Raw genomic sequence first — 13982 nt, 5'->3', positions numbered from 1 at the left:
GAGACAGGGTCTCACTCTGAGTGCAGTGGTGTGATCACAGTTCACTGTAACTTCGAACTCCTGGGCCCAAACTATCCTCTCACTCCAGTCTCCTGAGTAGCTAGAACTATAGATGCATACCATCACACCTGGCTAATTTAAAAATTTTTTTATAGAGATGGAGTCTCAGTATGCTGTCCAGGCTGATCTGAACTCCTTGCCTCAAGCAGTGCTCCCGGCTTGGCCTCTCAAAGTGGTGGGATTACAGGCCACCATGCCTGGCCCATTTGTTATTTTCAATAAATGTTTTTTCTAAGGATATTGTAATTCTGTATTTTAATTATATCATGTGACTTCAAGAACACTATATGAAACTATGCTATGTTAATACATATTTTCAAAAATAAACTTTGAAAGAGACACCTGTTCACTGAATGTCATCTCAGGGTACAGAGATAAAATCCAATTGGCAATTTTTAATGCTTTGAAATATGTGGGATTGCTACTATTCTTGATATATTTAAGAGATGACAATATATATCTAAATTTTAAAGTATGCAGTTTATATAACCAACAAGAAAAATTATACGCATAATATTTTCCTTAACATGTCGTACACTGTGATTTGTAAACCAGGCTGGGTGTGATGGCTCATGCCTCTAATCCCAGCACTTTGGGAGGCCGAGGCAGGAGGATTTCTTGAGCCCAGTTCGAGACCAGCCTGAGCAACACGGCAAACCCCCACGTCTACAAAAAATAGCCAGATGTGATGGCACACACCTGTAGTCCCAGCTAATCAGGAGGCTGAGGTGGGAGAATTGCCTGAGCCCAGGGAGGTCGAGGCTGCAGTGAGCTGTGATCGTGTCACTGTACTTTAGCCTGGGCGACAGAGTGAGACCCTATCTCAAAAAAAAAAAAAAAAAAAAAGTAAACCGACTACCAAAAGTACTGCAAAATAAATTTCTTAAACATGAAACACATGATACCTTGGAAAGGTGACATATGTGGTTGTTTCCTCCTTTTTTTCCTTCTCTTTTTCTTGGTGTTTCATATTTTGTCCTTAAAACAAAAGAAAACATATTAATGATTGCTTCAATAAAAAAAGACACAGACCTTATTTTTTAGTAGTGATTATATTCATGGCCCAAAATTTAAATAGCAAAACATCTCCTTTCCACCTGTCAACCAGCCATCTAAATTTTCCCTTAAGACACTTACGGTTGTTATAACAAAATGCCACAGGTGGGTGGCTTAAACAACAGACATTTCTCACAGTTCTAGAAATTTGGAAGCCCAAGATTAGGTTGTCATCAGATTCAATGTCTGGTTAGGGCCCACTTCCTGGTCTCCAGACTACCTCTTATCATGGTATTCCCACAGAGTTGAGAGAGGAAGCTCTAATATCTCGTCGTCTTCTTAATTTTTTTTTTTCTTGAGACGGAGTCTCACTCTTTCACCCAAGCTGGAGTGCAGTAGTACAATCTCGGCTCACCGCAACCTCCATCTCCTGGGTTCAATCAATTTTCCTGCCTCAGCCTCCCAAGTAGCTGGGATTACAGGTGTGCACTACCACGCTCCGTCAATTTTTGTATTTTTAGTAGGGTCGGGGTTTTACTATGTTGGCCAGGCTGGTCTCGAACTCCTGACCTCAAGTGATCTGCCTGCCTCAGCCTGCCAAAGTGCTGGAATTACAAGGGTGAGCCACCACGCCTGGCCTCTTCTTCTTGTTATAAGAGCACTAATCCCATCATGGGGTATCTAATCTCATGATCTCATCTAAATCTAATTACCTCCCAAAGTCCCCACCATCTAATATATCATTGGGGGATTAGAATTTCAGCATATGAATTTTGGAGAAACACATTTAGACCATAATATTTCCCAAAGATAACAAGAAATCTTACAATTTTTTTGCATATCTTTCCAAAGATACTTGTATGCATTTATAGGCAACTAAATATATATGTTCTTCCCTTCAACACCACTACTTCCATAAATGGTAACATATTTTTACACACCATCCTGTGTGGCTATAACTTGAAGGCCATTCCTAATCAGTAAGCAAAGGATTACTTAGTATTTTTTGATTGCAATATATTCCACTGTATAGAGATTCCAGAATTTAATCAGCCTACTGCAGATGGACATTTATGTTGTTTCCAATCTTTTACATACAATATTGCTACAAATAACCTGTAAAGGTGGTTTTAAAGGTGTGTGAATAAATTACTAGAAGTGTAATTGAGGACTCTGGATTATATATATTCCTAATTTTAATAGATATTGTCATACTGCCCTCCACTGACGCTGAATCAATGTTCTTTCCCATCAGCAGAAAGGACCTACACTTCCCCGAACCTTGTTCCCCATGTTATCACATGATGTGATAACAAACTTTTGAATCTTTTAACTAATTAGATAGGTGAAAAATGACATGTTTAATTAAAATCTTCATTTTTGTTACCACGAGTAAGTTTGGGCATCTTTAAATAAATTTAAGAGGCATTTATATCTTCCTTTTGTGAGCTGTCTGGTCATATCTTCTGCACATTTGTCTACTGGGTTGTAAGACCTTTTAAAATTGATTTTTTCCCCATCCTAAATCACATTTTTAGACTATCTGGTGTGGCCAGCCCTATCGTAAATCACATCACCCAAGGCCTCCAGGCAAACAAAGATACAAGTTGAGTATTCTTTATCCAAAATTCCTGGGACCAGAAGTATTTCTAATCTTAAATATTTTGTGATTTTGGAATATTCACATATACAGAATGAGATATCTTAAGGATAGGACCCAAGTTCTAAAAACAAAATTCAAGGCTGGTCGCAGTGGCTCATGCCTGTAATCCCAGCTACTCAGGATGCTGAGGCAGGAGGATCCCTTGAGGCCAGGAGTTTGAGACCAGCCTGTGCAACATAGAGAGATCATGTCTCTAGAAAAAAAAAATTAAAAATTAGCCAGGTGCAGTAGCATGCACCTGTGGTTCCAGCTACTCAGGAAGCTGAGGTGGGAGGATCAACTGAGCCCAGTAGTTCAAGGCTGCAGTGAACTAGGATTGCATCACTACACTTCAGCCTGGGTGACAGAGACAGATCCTGTCTCAAAACAAATAAATTAATTAATAAACTTAGTTTATATTTCACATATACCTTAAACACATAGCCAGAAGATAATTTTATACAATAATTTTTTTTTTTTTTTTGAGACAGAGTCTCGCTCTACTACCCAGGCTGGAGTGCAGTGGTGGGATCTCGGCTCGCTGCAACCTCCACCACCTAGGTTGAAGCAATTCTTGTGGCCTTAGCCTCCCAAGTAGCTGGGATTATAGGCACGCTCCACCACGCCCAGCTAATTTTTGTATTTTTAGCAGAGACAAGATTTCACCATGTTGGCCACGCTGGTCTCAAACTCCTGTGATCCACCCACCTTGGCCTCCCAAAGTGCTGGGATTACAGGTGTCAGCCACCACACCCAGCCAATAATTTTTTGAGACAGAGTCTTGCTCTGTCACCCACACTGGAGTGCAGTGGCACGATCTTGGCTCACTGCAACCTCTGCCTCCCGGATTCAAGAGATTCTTGTGCCTCAGCCTCCAGAGTAGCTGGGATTATAGGCGCGTACTACCATGCCTGGCTAATTTTTGTATTTTTGGTAGAGATGAGGTTTCACCATGTTGGCCAGGCTGGTCTAGAACTCCTGACCTCAAAAGGTCCACCTGCCTCGGCTTCCCAAAGTGCTGGGATTACAGGCATAATCCATCGTGCCTGACCTATGCAATAATTTTTAATAATTTTGTGCATAAAATAAAATTTGCATGCATCATACCACCAGAAAACAAAGGTGTCACTACCTCAACCACTACCCATGTGGGTAATCTGTGGTTGATGGGCATCACCATCATTCCTGACTCTGAATTTATTTATTTGCTACTGATAAGGAATCCTTTTCCTATACTTATTCACACAAAAGTACGTAACAGCAAAAAATATGACATACCAGTAATACAGTGAAAAAATAATGCATTCAGGGTAACTAAGCAGCACAGTAGCACCACCAGAATACCTGTATCAGCTGTGAAACAACAGCAACAACAAACAATGGCAGGCTTTCAGTCCCCACCTATCATGCTGTGTTTTGATTAAAAGGTTACTATACACCATTTTTCTAAGTTATCAGAAGCAGGTGAGAGACCAAGAAGTGGGTCTTCTAAGGATAAGAAGGCTTTCTGCTGGATGGCTTTTTAAAATGTTTCCTCCAGAGTCATCTGCCTCATTAACAATGCTTTTGATTTAGAACTCTCTCTTAGACATTATAAACTGTGATGATTTCTTGTTCTTTTATAAATGTACACTGTTCTATTCCTTCAATAAGCCCAGCACACATTTTCACCATTGCTATCGTTTGGATATTTGACTCTCCAAACCTCATGTTGAAATCTGATCCCCAATGTTGGAAGTGGGGCCTAATGGGGTGTTTGGATCATGGGGGCAGATCCTTCATGAATGTCTTGGTGCCATTCTCTCAGTAATGAGTGAGTTCTAACTCTATTAGTTCCCACAACAGTTCACCTAGAACTGGTTGTTGAAAGAGCCTGGTACCTCTTCCTCTCTCTCTTGCCTTCTCTCTCACCATGAGATCTGCAGTTGCAGGCGCCCCTTCACCTTCTGCCATGAGTGGAAGCAGCCTCAGTCTCTTGCCAGAAGCAGATACTGGCGCCATTCTTGTGCAGCCTGCAGAACCATAAACCAAATAAACCTCTTTTCTTTTTTTTTTAGAGACAGGGTCTCACTCTGTTGCCCAGGCTGAGTGCAGTGGCACAATCATAGCTCACTACAGCCTTGAACTTCTGACCACAAGAGATCCTCCTGCTTCAGCCTCCTGAGTAGCTGAGACTATAGGCATGTGCCACCAGGCCTGGCTAATTATTAAAATTTTTGTAGAGACGCGGTTCTTGCTACATTGCCCAAGCCATTCTCAAACTCCTGGGCTCAAGCAATCCTTCTGCCTCAGCCTCCTGAAGTACTGGGATTACAGGTGTGAGCCACTGCGCCAGGCCAAAGTAAACTTCTTTTCTTTATAAATTAACCAGCCTCAGGCACTCCTTTATAGCAACACAAACAGGCCTAGACAATCATGTTGTCTTTAGGTACTTTTTCTACAGTGTTAACAATATTCATCTTCATTGTCACCATTTTCATGATCACCTTGACTCAGAACCATTTCAGCTATTTCATCCCTGGTCAATGAATGAACAACTGGAGTCTCATTATCAATGTTAAAAACTTCAGTACCCATTTTCTAGCTTTCAGGACTCTGAAGGAGTATTTTCTTTCATATATAAGCAGGCCAGACATCATTTTTTCTCATTTGACATATGGAACTCTTCAAAGTCACCATCTTGTTCATCATCACTGAACACAGTCGCAGGCCAGAGGTTGTGCCAAGCATGCACAAATTTGTCTTTAATCACTGTGCTCCAAGTGCTGGCAACAGCATAGATGGTAAACCTCATCCTAAACTCCTGAAAATCCTTCCACGGCCATGCCCCTGTTCACTGCTGTTGCATGCAATTCAAGAAAACGTTTTTATATTTACTCTTCATTGATCTAAGGACACACTTGTCACATGGCTGAATTAATAGTCACATTCAGGGGAAAGTACATGACATAAACATTATTTTTTATGAGAACTTCAGCTAGAGTATAAGCAGAACAGTTGTCAAGGAATTTTTAAAAATCTTGTAGTCATCACCCAGTGCAGCTTCTGTGCTATCAGCCTGAGCCACTAGTATACAATTTTTGTGAAACCTATCAGAAAAGATGTTCCTGGTGATTCAAGCTATTTTGTTAGCATAACGATGGACATAAAAGAAATTCACCTACTGAAAGCAGCAACGACACAGCTTTTGCCTATCACAGCAAGTTTACACTTAATGTGTGCTTACTGCATTAGCCCATATCAGCAGTTATCCTGTCTTTGACATCCTTAATTCTATAGGGGCTGTGTCATCAGCTGTAGTCACTGTCTTTCCAGGGCAATAGTGCCAAAACAGTGATATTTCATCTACATTACAGACTTGCTCTGGCATCAGATTTCATCAGCAATGATTTTGGCAAACTCACCAATAAATTTCTCCACTGCTTCATGGAGATGTTTTATCACCACAAATCTTTAAAAGTTTAATGCCATGTCTTCTTGAACATTTCTGCAATTACCTGTTGAACATTCACAGTTCCCTTCAATTTTCAGTTCATTATTATACATCTTTGTTTCATGACCAGCAAACCACTAACTGCAATGCTGGCAGATCCACTCTTTCAATACACAATTGAGACTTCCATTTTCAGCTTTATGCAGTTTTTTTTTTTTTTTCTTTTTTCTCACTGACTTCTCTTTATCCTTTCAACATAGAACTTCAACAGTTCATGTTTCTGTTTCTTCAGGTCATATATATAATGATCCCAACACCCTATTCTTTTGTAAGACATTTCACATTTACACCACTGTCCAGTTTCTCCAGCCGCTTGACTTTCTCTGTTATATATAAACACAAATGCTTCATTTTTCTTATTACTATTACCCATAAGGGTATCTGCAGGCCTTTTTGGCATTTGTAACAGTATCTTTACACCACAGAGAATAAGCAAAACAAAACAAAACCAGAGTGAGTCATGCACGTAGGTCTTGGCCCCATGTGGGGCACTGTGGGGAACCTGCCATTTGGTGTGTGTGGCCTGCACACATGTCATTTTATTGTCTTTTGTGGACATGCTTGCATGGGGGAATCTGGAAAAAAGATATACTGCAGCTAAAGTAGGCTGGAGGGGGAGTCTTTATTTCCTTGGGTTTGCTGAATAAACTGTGTCATATCCCTGTGTTTTGACTGCAACCAATCTCAGGTGTGAAATATTCCACTTGTGGTGTCATACTGGTGTTCAAAAATTTTGGATTTTGAAGTATTTCAGATTTTCAAATTAGAGGGTGCTCAAAGTGTACTCCTATCAAGCATGACATTGGGTTTAGAGACCATCGGGCTTACAGATTAATTCCCAGAAGTCAAGGGCAAGGGCTAGACTTCTCTTAGGGCAAGATGAAATTCTTTACTACACACCTACACTATAATTTATCTGTCTTTTCTATTGTTAATAGATATTTGGGTTTCTTCTATTTTTTGACAATTATGAACAACACTGCCAGGAACATTCTTGTACAGGTACACTGATATAAAAATGCATGAGTTTCTCTGGAGTATATACCTAGCAGTATGACTGCTGAGTCTTTGGGCTTCGGATACATATGTATTCAATCTATCAATGTTTATCTCAGGGTTTGGGGACTTTGTGACATATATAGAAAGCCTTTCTATATATATTTCTTAATCATCTCTGATTAAGATTTCAAAACTTTCCAATGGTTTCTTCAATTCTTTTATGGTTTCATTTCTTTGCATGTAAATCTTTGATCCATCTGGAATCTATCCTAATATAAAGCTGAGGCATGAATTCAGCTTTAATTTTTCTGCAGATAGCTGGTTGTCTCAACATTATTTTTTAAATATGTCAACTTTTCCCTACTGATTTGAGGTGACTTTATATGCCAAATTTTGTATGTATTGCTTTTTTCCCCTGAGCTATTTCACTGATCTGTCCATGTAGCCATGTGTCAATACCTCAATATTTTAACTTTGTATTTTTCATATTTTTCAATATCTGGTATGGCTAGTTCTCCCCCTTATTAGAACAATCTATTCTTGCTTTTTTTTTTAACTAGAACTTTAGAATAATCTTGTCCAGTTCTACTCTAAAAATGTTGTGGTTTATTTTAAGGTGGATTTAAATGCCATTAAAATTTAACCTAAAAATAGTTGATCTCTTTATGATATAGAGTATTCCTGTCCAAGAACATGGTATGCCTTTTCATTTATTTCACGTATCATTATAGTATTTAAATGTTTTATTCATAATAACTTGCATATTTCTCAAATTTATTCCTATGTATCTTTTAAAAATTTCCACTGTAAATAGGATTTTTTTCCATAAAATCTAACTGGTATCAATATATGTAAAGATTATTGATTTCCAAATTCACATTTTCACACAGAAATCTAACTGAATTCTATTAGTTTTTAAATAAACTTTACTTTTTAGAGAAGTTTTAGATTCACAGCAAAATACACACAGCAGAAAGTGCAGAGTTCCTATATACTTCCTGCCCACATACATGCACAGCCTCCCTCACTATCAACATCCAGCGTGAGAATGGAATATGTTATAATCGATGACCCTGCATTAACAGATGATCATCACCCAAAGTCCACAATTTACATTACAGTTCATTCTTGGAGTGGTAAATTTTATGGGTTTTGACAAGTGTATAATGAATGACATATATCTACCATTCTATTATTGTATTAGGGTTCTCTAGAGGGACAGAACTAATAGGATATACTATTTTATATATACATATGTATATGTTGTATTACTAAGGAGTATTAACTCACATGATCACAAGGTCCCACAATAGCCCATCTGCAAGCTGAGGAGCAAGGAAACCAGTCTGAGTCCCAAAACTGAAGAAGTTGGACTCCAATGTTCGAGGGCAGGAAGCATTCAGCATGGGAGAAAGATGTAGACTGGGAGGCTAAGTCAGTCTAGTCTTTTCACATTCTTGTGCCTGCTTTTCATTCTGGCCTTGCTGGCAGCTGATTAGATTGCGCCCACCCAGATTAAGAGTGGGTCTATCTTTCACAGCCCACTGACTCAAATGTTAACCTCCTTTGGCAATACCCTCACAGACACAGCCAAGATCAATACTTTGCATCCTTTAATCCAGTCAAGTTGACACTATTAACCATCACAATTATCACATAAAATAGTTTTATTGTCCTCAAATTCCTCTATGTTCTGCCTTTTTGTTCCACCCTCCCCCCATAATTTTTAAAGAAATACACTTTCAACTGATTCTCTGGAGTTGTCTAGGTGTAAGAACACACATCCTAATAATTATAGTAACTTCATTCCTCCTTTTCAATGTATATCTCAATTTAGTTTTAATATTTTTAATTGATATTTCATAGTTATACATATTTTGGGACTATATGTGATATTTTGTTTCTTTTTAAATTTCTTTATTAGCTTATTTGCCAAATCAGTAGATGCACAATGTGATATTTTGATACATGTATACGATCTATAATTATCAAGTCAGGGTAAGCGGATATCTATCACCTCAAAAATTTTTCTTTTTTTTTTTAAGTTGAAAGTCTTTATATGTAGTTCTATCAGCATTTATAATAAACTTGGTAGGGTCAGAACAAGAAACTATAAAGTTCTACCTTCTGGCTTTGAGGCCCTTCCCCCTCATCCACGGCCCCAACCTCTTGCTGGTCATAGGCAGGGCCTCCCAGGATTCGGATTCTCTTCTCACACTGCTTCTTTGCCACAGTCAGTTGGTTGATGTACCTCTTCATGTTCCTAGCCCTCATTGCCGCAGTTTCTTTACCTTTGTGCCTCTTCAGTTGGGGAAAGCTGCTAATTGTAGTCGCTTGGATTATTTCCACTACAATTTGATACCTTGCCCAAAAGTCAGTTGTTGAAAACGACCAGCACACATCTTCTACCACTCTTCTCTACCGTTCCTTCAACAGACCTTAGTTGCTTCAAGAACTCCACATCAGAGTTGCTGTTAATGAGCTTGATGAAGTCCTCATAAGAGGGGCTATAGGTGTAGGCTCTCTTGTGATGTTCATTCATCTGCTCTCTGTACTCCAGCTGGGCAAGCAGCATTTGGTTAATGTAATCTGGATTACTCAGTAACTCCACTACCGGCTTCAGGACTTTTGTTGTGAGAATTTCTGCAAGCATTATAGGTAAACTGAGAGACTGCACATCCTTTGAGGGGAGGAGACAAAACACCAGAACCCGAGAACACGTTTGTAGAAATCTTACTTCATCATCTGAGTTCCTCAAGCATACGTGCAACACAAAAGGTCTTGGCTGTTCATGTCTGGCATTAGCACCTTTCAGGTCACAGAAATGAGTGAGTAAAGTCCTCACAACATCATTGCAGACAACTTTAACCACATCCACGTGACTCAGTCTGTGGTGCAGCTGTCTGGCAATTTCCCAAAAGTCTTCCAAGAGCACATGGTAAAGTTGTCCCTCATCTCTGCTGAGGTTTCCATACCAGGACAGAATGCAATCTCTGTAACTGTAGTCGAACACTTCTTTCAGAACTTTATCCATATTATGAGAAATTACTACCCTTCTAAACTGAGCTGACTCATGTGAGTTTCCATACACAGGACTCCCAGGAGGGCGGCGGGCGGCTGAGGTCGCGGCCAGCCGGCTCCAGGCGGCGGCAAAGTCGGGCGGCGGGGCGCGCGGGCTCCGGCAGACGAGGGCGAACAGGGTCCCCAGCAGGAAGGTGGCCGCAGCGCAGCTCAGGTACAGGCTGAGCCTGAGCAGGACGGAGCTCAGCCCCGCGGCCCCCGCCGCCTCCCCGCTGCCGGGCCCCAGGAAGGAGAGGGCCACGGTGGCAAGTGCGGCCACCGCCACGGGCTTCCACCAGCTCCGGCCGCCCGGGGCCCCCGGCGCCGCCGCTGCTGCCTCGGCGTCCCCCGGGGACTCTGGCCGCCGCTCGCCCCTGAAGCCCGAGACAGGACGGCCGCCGGCGCCTGCGGCCCGCGCGGGGCTGAGGCCGGCGCCGCCACTGTCGGTCGCATCGGGGTGCATGCTGCTTCCTGGGCCGCTAAGGACAGGCACATCTCCTGCCCCGCCGTCCCCCGCCGGCGCTCCGGAGGCAGGGGGAGCCCGCGCTCCTGCCTCGCCCGCGGCCCACGGAGGGAGCGGCCCCCGCAGACGCCGCCGGGCCCCTCTCGGCGACCCCTCAGCGCCGCCAACAGGCGCTGGGCCCGTAGCTGCCGGGCCGGGCGCAGCCAGGGAGCCCCACCGTGTTGTGACTGAAGCCTGGCCAGCCTAAGAATTTATCTTTTCTTTGTGTTGGGAATATTACAATTCTACTCTTCTAGCTGTTTTAAGATATGAACTACATTATTGTTAACTGTAATTTCTCTACTGTACTACTAACACCAGAACTTATTCCTTTTAACTGTATTTTTGTACTCCTTAACCAGCTTCTCTTCATCCTGCCCTCTACTCTTCCCCTCCCTGCCTCTCATAGCCATGATTCTACTCTCTACCTCCATGAGATCCAATTTATTAGCTCCCACATGTGAGAGAACAATGTGATATTTGTCTTTCTGTGCCTGGCTTATTTCACTTAATATAATGACCTCCAGTTCCAAATCACATTGCTGCAAATAACATGACTTCATTCTTTTTTATAGCTAAATAATATTCCACTATGTACATAACCACATTTTCTTTATCCACTCATCCGTTGATTGACACTTAAGATGATGCCATACCTTGGCTATTTGTGAATAGTGAGGCAATAAACATAGGAACACCGATTGCAGATATCTCTTTGATGTTACAATTTTCTTTCTTTTAAATATATACCCAACAGTGAAATTGCTGGATCATATGGTAGTTTTATTTTTAATTTTTTGAGGAACCTCCATACTGTTTTTCATCATGGAGGTACTACTTTACATTCCCACAGTGTAGGTGAGTTCCCCTTTCTCTGCATTCTACCAGCATATGTTATTTTTTGTCTTTTGGCAATAGCCATCCTAATTGGGGTGAGATAGTATTTCATTGTGGTTTTGATTTGCATTTCCTTGATGATTAGTGATGTTGGGCATTTTTCTTCAAATATCTGTTGACCATCTGTGTACCTTCTTTTGAGAAATATTTATTCAGGTCTTTCACTCATTTTAAAAATTGGATTATTTGGTTTTTGCTATTGAGTTCCTTATATATTGTGGCTATTTTTGTTTGTTTGTTTTGAGATGGAGTCTTGCTCTTGTCACCCAGGCTGGAGTGCAATGGCACGATCTTGGCTCACTGCAACCTCAGCCTCCTGCACAGCTGGGATTACAGGCACCCGCCACCACGCCAGGCTGATTTTTGTATTTTTAGTAGAGACAGGATTTCCCCATGTTGGCCAGGCTGGTCTTGAACTCCTGACCTTGTGATCTGCCCACCTCAGCCTCTCAAAGTGCTGGGATTACAGGTATGAGCCACCGTGCCCAGCTAAGGTGATTTTTTTATATGGTAAAAGATGGGGATCTAGTTTCATTCTTCTGCACATGGATATCCAGTTCTCCCAGCACGATTTATTTACTTATTTTTATTTTTTAAGAATGGTCCCACTCTGTTGCCCAGGCTGAAGTACAGAGGGACACGCACCGCTCACTGTAGCCTCAAACTCCTAAGCTCAAGTGATCCTTCCACCTCAGCCTCCCAAGTATCTGGGACCAGAAGCACACACCACCATGCCCAGCTAATATTTAATTTTTTGTAGAGATGGGGGTCTCACTATGTTTCCCAGGCTGGTCTTGAACTCCAGGCCTCAAACAATCCTCTTGCCTTGGCTTCCCAAAGTGCTGAAATTACAGGTATGAGCCACTATGCCCAGCCCCAGTATCATTTATTAAAGAGACTACCTTTTTCCCATTGGATGTTCTTGTTACCGTTGTTGAAAATGAGTTGGCTAGAAGTACATGGATTTCTTCTTGAGTTCTCTATTCCGTTCCATTGGTCTGTGTGTGTGTTTTTACAGTACCATACTGTTTTGGTTACTATAGCTTTATAGTATAATTTGAAATCAGGTAGTGTGATGCCTCCTTCTTTTTTCTTTTTGCTCAGGATCATTTAGCTATTCATATGAATTTCAGGATTTTTTTTTTTCTATTTCTGTGAAAAATATCACCGGTACTGTGATAGGGATTACATTGAGTCTATAACTCACTCTGGGTAGTACAGACATTCAAACAATATTAATTCTTCCATTCCAGAGCATGGGATATCTTTCATTTTTTTTTGTCACCTTTAATTTCTTTCATTGGTGTCTTATAGTTTTCTTTGTAGAGATATTTTACTTCTTTGTTCTTTAGTTACATTTATTCCTAGGTATTTTATTTTTTGTAGCTATTGTAAATGAGATTGATTTATTTCTTTTTCAGGCTGATTGCTGTTAGCATATAGAAACACTCCTGATTTTTGCATGCTGATTTTGTGTCCTATGATTTTACTAAATTCATTTGTCGGTTCTAAGAGTTTTTGGTGGAGTCTTTGGGCTTTTCTAAATTTAAGATCATGTTGTTTGCAAACAAGGATAACTTGACTTCTTCCTTTCCAATATGGATGTCCTTTATTTCTTTCTCTTGCCTAATTGATGTGGCTGGGCATTTTTGTTTAATTGAATTTGCTGGTATCTTCAAAACAAGAGATAGCAGATGTCCTTTTCTTGTTTTTGACTGTAACAGGAATGCTTTTAGTATTTCCCCAATCTAAAACTTACAGAAAAGTTGCAAATACAGTATTTCCAGTAAGTTGTCATCCAACAAACAAGGACATTCTCCTATGTAACCACAATCTGAGGTCAAAATCAGGAAATTCACACTAATACATTACTATCATCTAATTTTCAAACAGCATCCAAGTTTTTCCAAGTCCTTTATAGATAAAAGATTGATGTCCTTTATAGCTAAAGGACTCAGGTCAGAATCAGGCACTGCATTTAAATGGCATGTCTCTTTAATCTCCTTCAATCTGGAACAGTTCTTCAGTTTTACCTTGACTTTAATGATGACAGTTTTGAAGATTACAGACCAGTTGTTTTGTAGAATGTCTCTCAATTTAGGCATGTATAATGATTTCTCATTATTAGATTTAGGTTATGGATCTGCAATGGAATGAATTTTCTGTGTCACCTCCCAAAATTCATACACTGAAACTCTAATCCAATATGATGCTATTTGGACGTGGCTTTTTTTTTTTTTTTTGAGATGGAGTCTCACTCTGCCGCCCAGGCTGGAGTGCAGTGATGCAATCTGAGCTCACCACAACCTCCACCTCCTGGGTTCAAGCCATTC

The 13982-nt window shown here is 40.7% G+C and overlaps 1 long non-coding RNA gene and 1 pseudogene across 1 annotated transcript in view; both read right to left on the bottom strand.

Moving 5' to 3' along the window:
* Positions 1 to 13982, bottom strand: part of LINC00467 (long intergenic non-protein coding RNA 467) — a 49781-nt gene that overhangs the window by 5287 nt on the left and 30512 nt on the right. The window contains exon 5 of the long non-coding RNA NR_026761.2: positions 966 to 1038. This is a non-coding gene — a long non-coding RNA (long intergenic non-protein coding RNA 467). The remainder of the gene's footprint in view (positions 1 to 965; positions 1039 to 13982) is intronic.
* SNX25P1 (sorting nexin 25 pseudogene 1) lies at positions 9315 to 10288 on the bottom strand (annotated as a pseudogene).

This window comes from Homo sapiens, chromosome 1 (assembly GCF_000001405.40).
Source record: "Homo sapiens chromosome 1, GRCh38.p14 Primary Assembly".
In the NCBI taxonomy this organism is placed as follows: Eukaryota; Metazoa; Chordata; class Mammalia; order Primates; family Hominidae; genus Homo; species Homo sapiens.
Note: the sequence above shows the minus strand (reverse complement) of the source record. Positions and strands in the feature narration are given on the sequence as shown.